Here is a 15,469-nt window from a genome sequence, read left to right as displayed (position 1 = left end):
ATAAAAATGTAGATGGGAAAATTATCATCAGACAAAATGGCATTTAAGGTAAAATATTTAATTGGCATAGTCTTTTTATATGATAAAAGATTAAATCCCTAAGAAGATATGTGTCATAAACATCAAGACATCTAATAAAAAACAATTGAAATATAAAAAGCAAAAACTAAAAGACATAGATTAATTGACAAGTCCATGTTCAAGGTGGGAAATCCTACAATAGTCCTTTATACAGAATCAGCAGTTCAACAGACAAAAATATAATGAAGGACATGGAGAAGTTGAGTGATAAAAATAATAAAGTGATAAAGTTGCCCTTGTATTTAAGGACTCCCCCAAATGGGTATTCTCATATACTGTTGATGGAAGTGTAAATTTGTAAAGCTTTTTGGAAAGGTATTACCTATCAGCATGTAGGAAACTCCCATCTCTGACTCTGCCTTTCTACTTTGAGCAATCTTTCCTAACTAAATAATGCATTTGTACCCAAAGATGTTGCCAAGGATGTTCATTGCTGTATGGTTTGGTAACAAACATAGGAAAACAAACTAAATGCCCATTAGTAGGGGAATAGTTGAACAAATTATATTACATCTATGTTATGGGATACCATTTAGCCATTAAAAAGAGTGAAATAGTTCTGTATGGATTATTATGGGAAGAACGTTAAGATATATTAAGTGAAAAATGTAAGGTGCAGGACAATACACACAATTTGGTAAAAAAATTGAAAAGGAAATAAACACATCTGTATATAAGCATGAGCATTTGTCTGGGAGATTATACAATACAAACAACTGTTAATAGTGGTTGATTTTGGAAAAGGGGAGTTTGGGATGAGGGAGAAAAGGGCAGCTTTTACTTTCCATTTTTATATCTTTTTATACCCTTCAAATGTTTTAACTCTATGGATGTATTACTTTTATTCTAAACTGTAGCCATATCTAGTCTATTTTATGATATTTACTGTGTCTGTATGTATATGTATGAACATGTATTCCAGTGTGCACTTTATAGATGGCTTATACTATTTGCTACTTCTTGTTGTCTGTGTTTTCATGTTTCCATAATTATGCTGAATTAAGTGTGTGCTATCATGTTTAGATTTATGTTATTTTCATGCTTAACAAAACCATGCTGAACAGTATCTGTGATGGACACAATGATAGCTCACTTGTACTGGGTGTGCTAGGCACCGGACTGAGTGTTGAATAAATAACTGCCCAGAAGGAAGCAGATGCCCCTAAGTTACCTAGAAAACTTCAGTCTAATATTAATGGCTTCTTCAATAGTTGTAGAATTGATATTTAATGAATCTTTTTTTAAAAAAAAACCTTATAAATGAGACAGGGTCTTACTCTTATCTCTCAGGCTGGAGTGCAGTGGTGGCTCACTGTAGCCTTGACCTCCCAGGCTCAAGCAATCCTCCCACCTCAGCCTTCCAAGCAGCTGGGACCACAGACATGCACCACCAGGACAGGCTAATTTTTTTATTCGTGTGTGTATATGTAGAGGCAGGGTCTCCCTGTATTGCCCAGGCTGGGCTCGAACCCCTGGGCTCAAGTGATCCTCCTGCCTTGGCCACTGAAAGTACTGAGATTACAAGGTGTGAGCCACCACCCACAGTCTAATAAATCTTAATGTTGTACTATTTGAATCCTGTCAAGATGTCTTAACTAGCTAAGAAATAGTTAGAAAGGGTATCTGATAGAATGTAGCTCTGCTGTGGTTCTTAGCTTTTTGGCTGGAAAAAGGAGTGTGACATTTCCAAAGCTGCCTTTGAGTAAATGCTTACCTCAAACTTGAGAAATGTGTTCACCTGTAAACCTGCCTTTTTAAGAATTTTTTTCTTTCTTGCAGGGTAACGCCATCCTCTGAAAATCCTAATGGTGCTACTTCTAGTGTCAGCCAAGGAAAACCCTCTTTAAGACGAATTAAAGGGAGATTACACAGAAGCAAAAGCCTTGATAGCATGGATTTCTGTGAGCTCACTGTAAGTGGACTGATCAATGCTTTTCTCATTTTTCCAAAGAGTATGAAAGTTTTTATTTTATTATTTTCATAAAAATGCAGCAGACTTATTTTGTGGCAGGCATTTTTTAATTTTAGAAATGGTTCACCCAACAGTTTACCAACCAGAATGTTTTCTTAACTAGCATGGATATGATAACATTGGTAAAATGGTTCATAATGATGATTCTGATCCAAATATGAAGATAGAGAAATGCTTCCTGACCTCTACAAGAAAAATTGATTTAAGTTCGATAGAGTATTAATGTGAATATCTTATAAAATCACAAATCCACATGTTAATATAAGTAGAGACTTAAGTGTCTGATTAACCCCAAACACCCAGCTTCCTGGTAGTGCCAGACAATAATTACTCTGATATTATTAGTACGGATCCCAATTCAGTTAATGATGGTGCTTTCTTTCTATTCTTTTTTTTTTTTTTTTTTTTTTTTTTTTTTAAAGAGCCAGGGTCTCCTTCTGTTGCCCTGACTGGAGTGCAGTGGTGCAATCATGGCTCACTGCAGCCTTGAACACCTGGGCTCATGTGATCCTCCCACATCAGCCTCCCAAGTAGTTGGGACTATAGGCGTGTGCCACTATGCCTGGCTAGTTTTTTAATATTTTGTAGATATGGGGTCTCACTATGTTGCCCTGGCTGGTCTTGAACTCCTGGCACTTTCTTTTTATTCTAAGTGATTACATTAATGGTCATATTTTTTTCAAGGCCAAGTGACAGGTTCTTATTTCTCATATGGAAATGTGGTAAATTCATGCATGTTTTTGGAGGAACACTGGCACTTTCAGGCCCCACTTGAATAAAAAAGATACTGTAATGCCATAAAGCAAATACTAGAATTTTCTTTGCTGTAAAAAGGTTTTATTTCAATTGGTGTATCATAAGGTTCAATGGCAAATTAATGAATGTTTAGGTTATTTGGTAGACCTGATATGTTCATTTCTGTCCTTTGAGTTTTGAAAAATTTTGAATGATAAAGGTACCATCGGCCATTGTTTCAAAAAATGACATCAAAGTATGAAACTAAATTCTGTCTTTTTCATCTCTTATCTATAACTACTGAAAATAAAAGCTCAGTAAATGTGAATACTCTATTATTATTATTTTTTTTTTTCTGAGATGGAGTCTTGCTCTGTTGCCCAGGCTAGAGTGCAGTGGCACGATCTCGGCTCACTGCAACCTCTGCTTCCCGGGTTCAAGCAATTCTCCTGCCTCAGCCTCCTGAGTAGCTGGGATTACAGGCGCCCGCCACCACGCCTGGGTAATTTTTTGTATTTTTAGTAGAGACAGGGTTTCACCATCTTGGCCAGGCTGGTCTCAAACTACTGACCTTGTGATCCACCCGCCTCGGCCTCCTAAATTGCTGGGATTACAGGCGTGAGCCACCGTGCCCGGCCAATACTCTATTTTTTTTACATTTATTTTAATTTGTTTACATTTATTTTACATGTATTTTTACATTTTTACTAAAATAATTTTATTCAAGCATTTTACCTTAAAATGTTCTTGAATGCTTTTATGACACAAGACATAAATAGGTAAAATGTGACCTACCAGAAGACATTTAACCAAGAACAGAAAAAGAATAAAAAGACAGTAAATTCTTGCTGAGTAGAACTAACAGTTAAGGTGACTAAAGAAAATATAAATGTACTTCAAAATGAAGTGAATTGCTTTTCAAAAGTGAAACATTGAATTAATCAAGAAACAAATTTAAATTATTTGTTGGAATATAAAAATGGAAATTTAAATTTTATCAGCTTTTTTTCTATTGTGCAAAACATTGTCATTACTGAAGCATAATCATATAACTAATTAATTTTACATGTCATAAAATATATTTATTTGCATAAACAGAATCATTCTGGTTGGTGGAGAGGTTATAATGTTTCTAGAATGTAGCAGACAAAAAGCTTTACAGAGAAAAAGATGGCCTTCAGTTTTCCACAAATAGAAATGACAAATAGAGCCATGTTTTTATCATAATAAATATGTTTTAAAATTATGGAGAGTTTATTTTCTCCCTCATTTCATGAAAGAATTGATCTGGTTGAAGTTAGTACACACTCCAAGCAGGGAAAAAATAATGCTACCCAGGTGCAGAATTAATTTCTTTCTTTTTGATGGTTTTTCTATTTGACTCTGTCTCAAAAGTGAAATGTCTTAGTATCCCTGAAGGGAGGCATTTTAACATTGATGTTAAAAGAGAGGAAAAGTTGAGGTTCACAGAAGGCTTATTCCAGGGAGGAGCTGTATGTTCTGGTGTAATGGTTCCCTTGGCTTCATGGACGATGTTGTTTTAAATTTTGGTTTTCTACTTCTGAAGAGTGCATTGAAAAGCCATGGACTTTGGTATGCTGACATTTCATTCCTCAGCAATGGGAATGTATTAATGAAGTCTAATTTCTGCAATTCATTTGAGTTTTTTGCAACTTGTGTTCATTTTCTTACTCAGGTTTTTGAGGTCATGCGTGGTGGAGCAACAATTTACATTTCCTGTATCTTACTCTGCATGTTTTTAGATTGTTAGAAATTTTCACAATGCGCATGTTTCATTTTTAGAAAAGCAATAACTGATTTTCCAAGCAATAAAAAAAATAAATAAGAAGAGCTTAACAGCTTGGCTCCTCCCACTTTCTACCATAAGATATGGCAATTAATACTGTAATACCCAAAATATGTAGGGGCATATAGCATTTCTGGCATGGGGCTAAAAACATTTTTTTCCCTACACTTTAAAAATTCTGTCTTTTTGGCCAGGCATGGTGGCTCACGTCTGTAATCCCAGCACTTTGGGAGGCCAAGGTGGGTGGATCACCTGAGGTCAGGAGTTTGAGACCAGCCTGGCCAACATGGCACAACCCCGTCTCTATTAAAAAGACAAAAATTAGCTGGGCGTGGTGGCAGGTGCCTGTAATCACAGCTACTCGGGAGCCTGAGGCAGGAGAATGGCTTGAACTCGGGAGGTGGAGGTTGCAGTGAGCCAAGATGGTGCCACCGCACTCCAGTCTGGACGACAGAGCGAGACTCCGTTGCAAAAAAAAAAAAAAAAAAATCTGTCTTCTTTTATGAAAGAAGGAAGAGGGGGGCTACACATTTGAAAAAAACATGGATTCGAAAAGGGTTTCTTAGAAGATGAAAGGTATTCAGAATTGTTTTTCTAAGGAAGTTGACTTTGTAATATAATCATGTAGAACCAATTTAAAACCTTAGCCACAGAAGTCTGAAGGGAAGGTATTTGGTAAAGGATCTGTAATGACTTCTAATTACATAGGAATAGAAATCTTTATTTCCTTTAGGAAGTACCTTAGCCACCATAGATACCACTTTGTAAATGTTCTTACAGTTCAAACAACTCTGAAAACTTTACACACTATTTTACAAATTTATTTAAAAATTCTGATTAAATGTATGACTCCCTATGACTGCCAAAGTAAATACAGAACCTTGAAATAGGAAAGCTTAGACTTAGTTAATAATCTCCTGGCATATATACATATCAAATTTGTATAACTAACAGAATAATATTTCTATTTTTATTTTTATATTTTACTTTTAATTTTTCCAAATTTGTCTAAGGAAAAATACAACTTTTATTGCTTTTAGAAAAACATAGCAAGTGGAGCAAGAGATCCACTTGCTGTAGTTTCCTGGTCCCAGTTTCTGGCTGAGAGGCCTCAGGTTCCAGCTGAGCCTGTTGGCTTTGGTCCCGGGCATCATCAGAATGATGCCATTTCACTCCTGGGGAGAAGTGATTGTTTCAGCTTTCTCTGTGGGGATTAAATGGGATGGGCATTCTAGTTCATTTTGTAACCCTGCAGGATAATTGATTGGCATCCTAGTTTACTGACAGGGATTGGAATCCATCCAGTCTCCCTGGTTCCTTGAGGCAGTGTCCCAGAGATGCTTGGTAAAATTCTCTTAGGCATAGCCTGGACTCAACAATTCTGTTCTGTGTATGTGTTTTGCCTAGAAAACCTGAGCCCTTCTTCAATGTTGTAATGAGTAAAATGGTACATAAACCAGATGGCAGGTTCTTTTTTTTCCCCCTGGGGGTGATAGACATATAACAATCAATATGAAAAAGAAAAGTGACCTTTTGTCTTTAGATTTAGTGAATGATGTTTACATTCCTAGCTGTTCCATTTCACTCTGGTGTTGGATTCTAAGTGTATAGTCAAAGAAGTTTAAGTGATAATTTAAAAATTTAACAAATTGCTTGAAATTTTGCAGCTTCTTTTATTAAACCTCCTTCCTAAAATAGGGGAATGGAGCCAGTTGGGTGAAGTTCATTCTGTTTGGGAGGAAGGTATTCTAGAACATAAACTTAGGCAGTTTATTTCCTGCTTTGTGGGTGTAAATCTAGATTGCTGCTTATCTCTCTGCCAACAGAAAAATACTACAAAAAGTTTTGTGCAGTGAATAGAAACAATGATCCAATTAACAGTTTATGGTGATGTTCCCTTAACCTTGAGTGACAGGGGATTCAGTCATCACTGATAATCATTAGGCAAAAGGGATACATGTTTCAAAAACTTTAGAGGAGTTTTTGTCATTAGAGGGGGAAATATGTGAGAAGATATTATTTGGAATGTTACATTTGAGTACATTTTTGGGTTAATAAATCACATGTCACTGCTCCTTGAATAATTGTTTTGTTTTTTTAATAGCAGTGATTTTTTTTCGATTTGAAAAGACACTTCTTTCTCCTGATATAAAAAAGCATCTGGCCAGGCACGGAGGTTCATGCCTGTAATCCCAGCACTTTGGGAGGCCGAGGCGGGTGGATCTTCTGAGGTCAGGAGTTCGAGACCAGCCTGGTCAACCTGGTAAAACCCTGTCTCTACTAAAAATCCAAAAATTAGCTGGGCATGGTAGCGGGCACCTATAATCCCAGCTACTTGGGAGGCTGAGGCAGAAGAATCACTCGAACCCAGGAGGCAGAGGTTGCAGTGAGCCGAAATCATGCCATTGCACTCCAGCCTGGGTGACAGAGCAAGACTCCATCTCAAAAAAAAAGGAAAAGAAAAAAAGAGTATCCATGCAGACTAACAGGAAATATCTGTAACCCTGTGAAGATATCGAAGATGAAAAATTTCTCCTCCTCCCTCAACCCCTCATGTAATTGATGTAATTGATGCATGTAATTGATCAATTTAACTTATTTAACAAATGATTCTATGTGTGGCACTCACTAAATGCCACGCACTGTTCTAGGCACTTTAATTACATTAGCTATTTCCTCCTCATAACAACTTTGTCAAATAGATACAGCTATTACCATCAGCCTCATTTTACAGATAAGGATATGGGGTTACAGAATGTAACCTCGAGACTTCCTACTATGAGACTGGTGGGACCCTGAGAGGCCTCAGGGACCTGTTTTGACACAAAACTGCCTTTTGACTTTAAACACATCCTAAGTTTTTCTCCACCATGGGCGCCTGGCTGGTGAGAAGGGAGCTGGGCATGAAATGGTGAGAACACGGTAGAAAGAAAGTCCATGGAGGGACATGGACACCACTTCTGGGCTTCCCAGTTCTGTGGAAGGGACTGGCCCCTTCCCCCGTTCTCACTCCCACTCTTATCACCAGTTCTCCCATCACCAGTACGAGAGCCTGGAAGAAACTGCAGGGAGCATCGTGGGCTCCTCTGCTCTGGGCACACGGTGATGATTGAGTGGTTATGGTGGTAGAAGTAGTGGTAGTGGTGGAGGTGGAGGTCATGGTGGAGGTGGAGTTGGTGGTGGAAGAGGAGGTGGTGGTGATGATGGTGTACTTATGGTGGTAGAAGTGGTGGTGGTTATGGTGGTGGAGGTAGAGGTGGTGGTAGTAGTGGTAATGGAGGTGGTGGTGGTGGCACAGGAAGTGGTGGTGAAGGAGGTGGTGGTGGTGGAGGTAGCGGTGGTGAAGGTGGAAGTGGAGGTGGTGGTCATAGAGGTGGTAGTGAAGGAGGTGGTGGTGGTGGAGGTAGCGGTGGTAAAGGTGGAGATGGAAGTGGTGGTGGTGGTGGAGGTGGAGGTAGTGGTTGTGGTGGTGGTGGAGGTGGTGGTTGTGGTGGTGGTGGAGGTGGTGGTTGTGGAGGTGGTGGTGGTGGAGGTGGTGGTGAAGATGGTGGTGGTGGAGGTGGTGGTGGTGGAGGTGGTGGTGGTGGAGGTGGTGGTGAAGGTGGAGGTGGAGGTGGTGGTTGTGGAGGTGGTGGTGGTGGAGGTGGTGGTGAAGATGGTTGTGGTGGAGGTGGTGGTGGTGGTTGTGGAGGTGGTGGTGGTGGTGAAGGTGGAGGTGGAGGTGGTGGTTGTGGAGGTGGAGGTGGTGGTTGTGGAGGTGGAGGTGGTGGTTGTGGAGGTGGTGGTTGTGGAGGTGGTGGTGGTGGAGGTAGCAGTGGTGAAGATGGTTGTGGTGGAGGTGGTGGTGGTGGAGGTGGTGGAGGTAGTGGTGGTGAAAGTGGAGGTGGTGGTGGTGGAGGTGATGGCGGTGGAGGTGATGGAGGTGGTGGTGGTGGAGGTGGTGGTGAAGGTGGAGGTGGTGGTTGTGGAGGTGGAGGTGGTGGTGGTGGAGGTGGTGGAGGTGGAGGTGGTGGTGGTGAAGGTGGAGGTGGTGGTTGTGGAGGTGGAGGTGGTGGTTGTGGAAGTGGAGGTGGTGGTTGTGGAGGTGGTGGTGGTGGAGGTGGTGGTGGTGGAGGTGGAGGTGGTGGTTGTGGAGGTGGAGGTGGTGGTTGTGGAGGTGGTGGTGGTGGAAGTGGTGGTGAAGGTGGAGGTGGAGGTGGTGGTTGTGGAGGTAGAGGTGGTGGTTGTGGAGGTGGTGGTGGTGGAGGTAGCAGTGGTGAAGATGGTTGTGGTGGAGGTGGTGGTGGTGGAGGTGGTGGAGGTAGTGGTGGTGAAAGTGGAGGTGGTGGTGGTGGAGGTGATGGCGGTGGAGGTGATGGAGGTGGTGGTGGTGGAGGTGGTGGTGAAGGTGGAGGTAGTGGTGGTGAAAGTGGAGGTGGTGGTGGTGGAGGTGCTGGTGGTGGAGGTGATGGAGGTGGTGGTGGTGGAGGTAGTAGTGGAGGTGGTGAAGGTGGAGGTGGAGGTGGTGGTTGTAGAGGTGGAAGTGGTGGAGGTGGTGGTGAAGGAGTAGGTTGTGGTGGTAGAGGTGGTGGTGGAGGTGGCGGAGGTGATGGTGGTGGGTGTTTGTGAGGGTAGAAGTGGTGGAGGTGGTGGTGAAGGAGTAGGTTGTGATGGTAGAGGTGGTGGAGGGGGTGGTGGTGGTGGAGTTGGAAGAGGAGGAGGTGGTGGTGGAGGTGTTATTAGTAGTAGATGTGGAGGTAGAGAGTGATTGAGCCTTCTTCTCTTCTTACAGTGGGCTGAGTCTTTCACGTTCTGAGGTCGTTGAAATGTTCCTGTTTGCAAATAACAGAACACTAACTCAAACTGGTCTAAATAATAAAGATATTAAGTTATATACTAGAAGTTCTGCAGTAGGATGTTCTTCAGGGCTAATTGAATCCTGTGGGTCTGGTTCCATTTTCCTGGGATACTTTGCATCTCCCCTCCTCTGCGTAGGCTTCCTCGGTAGGCTTGTGCCATGCCATGGGCAGCAGTTCAGGCCTCACGTCCACAAGGATAAAGGCCAGGGGCAGTGTCTCTTTCTGTGGCTCTCTTTCAAGCATAGAAAACTTCCCCTAAAGTTCTCTTTCCTACTTCTCATTTCTGTCTCACTGGACCTTATGCTGGACCAGGCTCTGGCCTGGTGAATGTCATGTATTGATTTTCTTAGCTGGGTTCTTTGACCAAAGGAAAAGTCTGAGACTCCATAAATAATGGCCATAAGAATATAAAAGATAAAAGACATGGTATTAATAAGGTAAGACTGTTTAGGACAGGAGCAAATAAATAATCCTCAAATATCACTCAGTGCCTTTGGTTGATTGAATGATTGTCTTTTTTTTTTTTTTTTTGTGATGGAGTGTTGCTCTGTTGCCAGGCTGGAGTGTGATGGCACGATCTCGCCTCACTGCAACCTCCGCCTGCTGGGTTCAAGCGATTCTCCTGCCTCAGCAGGAGTGACTGGGACTACAGGCGGGCACCACCATGCCCAGCTAATTCTTGTCTTTTTAGTAGAGATGGGGTTTTACCATGTTGTCCAGGATGGTCTTGATCTCTTGACCTCGTGATCCGCCCACCTTGGCCTCCCAAAGTGCTGGGATTACAGGTGTGAGCCACCGTGCCCACCCAAATGATTGTCATTTAAAGTAAAGTAACAGGAGCATTTTTCTCTTGTAGCAAGGAGTGTGGGGGAAGGCAGCCCAGGGTTGGCACAGCTGTGCTGTGATGTTCCCAGAGACCAGCCTTCCGCACTGTTCCAGGCTGCCCTCGTTTTATAGGCCTCAGCCCTCATTCGTCCAGTCTCTAGGTGGCTGCTGTGACTCTGCCCTCACATGCTGTATTTCTAACAAAAATAATGGGGCAGAGTAAAGGGTCAGAAAACTTTCTCCTAGTGAAGCTTTGCCCTTTAGTTTCAGGGGAGATGCCCTCCCCAGGGACATCTCTCTACATCTCCTTGGCAAGAATTGCATCACATTGCCATTTTCTGTTCTAAGGGAGGGTGGAAAATGGGGAGTTTTGGTGGCACAGGCTCCTAGGGATGAAAATGGGTTCTGCTAGTAAGGAAGAAGGAGGAAACGGGTACTTTGTAGGTAACTAGCAGGGTCTGCTCCGCCAGACCTCCCAGCAAGTCTTTAACTCACAGACCAGAAAATTAATGCCACAGTAGAAGCCAACTCATAAATAGGTTAAATTATAGTTGCTGTCATGGCATTTTCAGAGATACGTATCTGAGGTGTCTGCATAATTCAAAATTCCTATGATTCTGAGACTATTTTTCCCATAGGACTCTCAATAAGCTACAAGTATGGTGGCTTATTTCTGTTTTCAGATAAATCGGTTTGCCATGGACCAGTAATAGACACACAGGTTAATTCACTCAGCCTGCCAGTTTAAAATTATGTAATTCTAGGTGCTTAGTTTTAATTTGGGACATTTGCATAATTTCAGGTGTGTTCATGAAGTGAGACTTTATTAATATTTTATGTTGCATGATTTAGATTTATACAACTAAAATTTGCATAAAATAATGACCACATTGTGTTCAGTTTACGAAGGCAGGAAAGTGAGTAATATATTTTAGAACAACAAAAAAATGCAGCCAAATGGTTAAAATACAAAAAGATTTAGTGCCTGCAGTAGCATTTTTAGTTAGACTTATGAAAACTTGTCTATCTAGGACAAATTGCTCCCCGAATTATCCCTCATTCAGGAAGTCTTGTTTTACTGTGCAACCTTACAGGATCCCTTATGTTAGAATTTGTGTGTTCATATTGCTTCCCCAATTTCTGACAGCTTATGTGCCATAAAATTAGATTGCTTTATAATACCTGGCATAATGTTAAGGGTTTGGTGCAGCTCAGTATAAATATTTGTCAAATGAATGAATAGATATGATTAAGTGAATAAATGGCCTTGCTGGCAGTTAGGCCATGAAAGGGGCACTGAAAATGGAAACAGAAATCGGCCTTTCCCTGTCCTTCATGGCCTTGACAAATTTAAAGAATTTTCAGCCTGGGTCCATCGAGTGTTTCTTCATGAGCAGATTCAGGCCATGCATCCTGGGAAGAAATACCACGGAAATGATGCTGTGCTTCTCAGAGCCTCGCATCAGGGCGCATGCCCTGAGGTTAACCTTGCTGGCCTGGGCATGTTGCGTCTGCCAGATTCTCTCACACTTAATTCACCATGTGGTCCTCTTGGTAATTCATTAGTATTTTGTGGTGAGATGTTTCAAGATTACACCAGTGTCTCTCATCAGACTTTCATCCACTAGCCCTGGCCTCCACGGATGACTCCTGCCCAAATCAGCCACGTCTATGCTGATTGCCAAATAGTGATTTCATATTCCTTTCATTCATTCTGCATTTATTAGTTGGCATTCCACTGTAGTAAAAAGCTTTCTCTTGTCTATTAATTTGCATTGTCATTCATTTCTTTGTAACAGTGTCAACTCGTGGAGACCTGTGATTTAGACAGTGGGAGCTCCTTCAGCCTGGCTCTCCTGATGTTGTGACATGTCCCTTTCAATCTTTGAACACTTCCTTGTTTTCTGCATATTGTGTTCCAGGTTTAGTTTATACTTTTGTTGCCCCAGTCCTGGAATAAGCCTTTTCTTCAAGGAGGCTCTGGTTCCCTTTGATGGAGTATTTAGAAACCGTGATGTAGGGGGTTCAGTGTGCTTATTTCTTTGATGTACTGTACATTTCTTCCAGGCCCTCTCAGCAGACAGCAGAAAAGATACAGTGAATATAAATGAACATGCAAGCACATATACATTATCATCTGTAACCTGTGTCCTTCTGTGTGTGTGCGTGTGTGTGTGTGTGTGTGTGTGTTTAATAGCCTTAAGTTCTCACTGGTACTCCTATTTCCGTTCCTTGCCTCATAGTTCTTTCTAGCTTTCCTCCCTTTCTGTGTTCCAGTAGTGAGAAACCTAGCTTTCCCTGTCCTCATCCCTTCATTTGTTGCTGTCAAACTTACTCTTGGCTCAGTGTAAGTAGTCTCCCAAGCACACTGATCCTCCTCTGCCCACCAGTGCCCAGTATCCTGGGCATTGGGTTTCGTGCTGCCATGGGCCTCCATGTGGCTTTGGGGGAATTCTTGGCAAGTGAGGTTTTAGTGAGAGAGAGTAGAGGAGCTCTTATCTCAAATGGAATGGTTTGAAGTAATGAAGTTTGTAGGGCAGTTTCAGCTTCTCGATAAGTACTTGTTGAAATCTCACCAACTGACTTGGCTATGTCTTTCTCTTTGGAAATTAGTGAAAAGAATATCAGCTGGTGATTCTTAGAATAAAAGTTCTTACTTTTTCCAGATTCTCCTAGCTAACATAATTCCTACTTAGGCACATACTTGTGCTACACGTTGTCTACACATGCACTGAACATTTGGCTCCAGTGTTAGGGCCTAGACCTTTTGGTCTTGGGGACATTTTGACCTGGCCCTTGTCTCCGTGACCATATACTTGAAACACCAGAGGGGAGTTACTCACCAGTGAGGAAGGTTAGTATGAGATCCCAAGTGATCACAAGTGTACAAGTATGTGGGAGGGTTGGATTTTTATTAAAGTAGACCAGTCCTGTAGAATATTTCATAATGACAATTCCTGGTAGAAATAGTCAACATAAAACAAGACAGACACTGGGTTAAGTGGCATAGTCAAACCTCATACAGTTGAAAAGCTGACAGAAGAAGTAAAATTAAAATTGACATTTGCTGATATTTAATACAGTAAAATTTGTTTTTGAATTCAGATCAACAAAAGAATGAAATATTCATGACAGATTTAAAATCTTCAGACTTTGATCCAGGTTATTGGACTTTATAAAATAAACAAAAAGCAGTTGCCAGTAGAGAGAATTCATAATGACAGAAGCTATAATTGGTAAATATTTGAAGTAGGTAAAATCCGATTGATTTAAAATTTACTTAGAAAAGCCTTATCTCAGTGAAAATAATTGCAGGAAAAGATCAGTTGAAGAAGGAAAAAATTAGCTGTTTCGTGTACTTTAGAGAAAATTGAACAAGGGATTATATTGGCTTTATGAAATTAAAATATTTTGTCAATAAGATGTTGCCAGTGTTGGTGTAATTCCAATTCAGATATCTGTATTTATAAACATAGGGTCATAAATTCCTTGGTGCCCCCGTCCCCGTCCCCCCACCAACAAAAGCTGGTCACAGTATTCACTAGGTCAAAATTGTGATACTAAAAAGTCAAGGCCGGGCGCGGTGGCTCACGCCTGTAATCCCAGCACTTTGGGAGGCCAAGGCGGGTGGATCACGAGGTCAGGAGGTCGAGACCATCCTGGGTAACATGGTGAAACCCCGTCTCTACTAAAAATACAAAAAAAAATTAGCCGGGTGTGGTGGCGGGCGCCTGTAATCCCAGCTAGTCGGGAGGCAGAGGCAGGAGAGTGGCATGAACCCGGGAGGCGGAGCTTGCAGTGAGCCAAGATTGCACCACTGCACTCCAGCCTAGGCAACTGAGCAAGACTCTGTCTCAAAAATAAATAAAATAAATAAATAAATAAATAAATAAATTTAAAGTCAAGTACCTGTTTTCTAACGATTTTTAATTTTTACATACAAAATATTTCCTTTAAGTACCTTAACAGGTAGAAAATTTTTGTTTAGTCTTATTTAGTTTTGTGTGTGTGTTTTGTTTTAGATGGAGTCTCGCTCCGTCACCTAGGCTGGAGTGCAGTGGCACAATCTTGGCTCACTGCAACCTCTGCCTGCTGGGTTCAAGCAATTCTCCTCCCTCAGCCTCCTGAGTAGCTAGGACTACAGGCGCGCGCCACCATACCCAGTAATTTTTGTATTTTTAGTAGAGACGGGGTTTCACCATTTTGGCCAGGCTGGTCTCAAACTCCTGACCTCAGATGATCTGCCCACCTTGGCCTCCCAAAGTGCTAGGATTACAGGCATAAGCCACCATGCTTGGCCTGAAAATATTGCCTTTTTTTTTTTTTTTTTTTTTTTTTGAGATGGAGTCTCACTGTTGTCAGCCTGGGCTGGAATGCAGTGGCACAATCTCAGCTCACTGCAACATCCACCTCCCAGTTCCAGCAATTCTCCTGCCTCAGCCTCCTGAGTAGCTGAGATTACAGGCGCACGCCACCATGCCCAGCTAATTTTTGTGTTTTCAGTAGAGACGAGGTTTCACCATGTTGGCCAGGCTAGTCTCAAACTCCTGACCTCATGATCCACCCGCCTCGGCCTCCCAAAGTGCTGGGATTACAGGCGTGAGCCACTGTGCCTGGCTGTGTTTTTAATAAATAGCAAAAGAAGCCAAAACTATAACTTGTAAAGTAGTCATTAGGTTTTCCCTAATTGCACACTTAGGGAAAGAAGGATTAGCTAAATTCATGGATTTGACTGAATGCATGTTTTAAAAAAGACCTTCTCCATCATCTTTTATGTCAAAAGAGGATGCCCACCCGCTCTCTCTCTTACACATATAAAATCCCTTGTGGCGATCTTCTAGTGTTACTTGGTGAGCTGGTGGTCTTGGTTTCACCAGTGTCTTATCACAGCTTGCAGTTATTTTATTTATTCTTTCATCTGTCTCCAGGAGAAAGTGCGCTCCATCAGAGCACAGGCCAGGGTAGTTTGTTCCTTCTTGTATCCTTGGTATGTGTGCAGCATATTGTTTTGTCCATAATGGGTGCTAAAGATTGTTGATTAACCAAAATACAGAGAGTATTCACTTAAAAAAAAGGAAGAAAAGAAAAATGACTTGGGAGTTGGTTCTTATAGGTGCTTATGAACAAGTCCCCTCCCTTGCAGGTCCCCCCGGGCCTGCCCTTGCCAGCCCCAGTTCACTGAGCATACAGCCTGTGTTGCTAACCTGGGTG

The 15,469-nt window shown here is 41.8% G+C and overlaps 1 protein-coding gene across 11 annotated transcripts in view; it reads left to right on the top strand.

The window, feature by feature from the left end:
* TJP1 (tight junction protein 1) overlaps window positions 1-15,469 on the top strand; it is a 269,683-nt gene that overhangs the window by 10,825 nt on the left and 243,389 nt on the right. For all 11 annotated transcript variants that reach the window (XM_005254620.4, XM_047432984.1, XM_005254619.4 and 8 more), the window contains exon 2: window positions 1,861-1,993. In XM_005254620.4, coding sequence (XP_005254677.2) covers window positions 1,861-1,993 — 133 coding nt within the window. The remainder of the gene's footprint in view (window positions 1-1,860; window positions 1,994-15,469) is intronic.

The sequence above is a fragment of the Homo sapiens genome, chromosome 15 (genome assembly GCF_000001405.40).
Source record: "Homo sapiens chromosome 15, GRCh38.p14 Primary Assembly".
Classification (NCBI taxonomy): Eukaryota; Metazoa; Chordata; class Mammalia; order Primates; family Hominidae; genus Homo; species Homo sapiens.
Note: the sequence above shows the minus strand (reverse complement) of the source record. Positions and strands in the feature narration are given on the sequence as shown.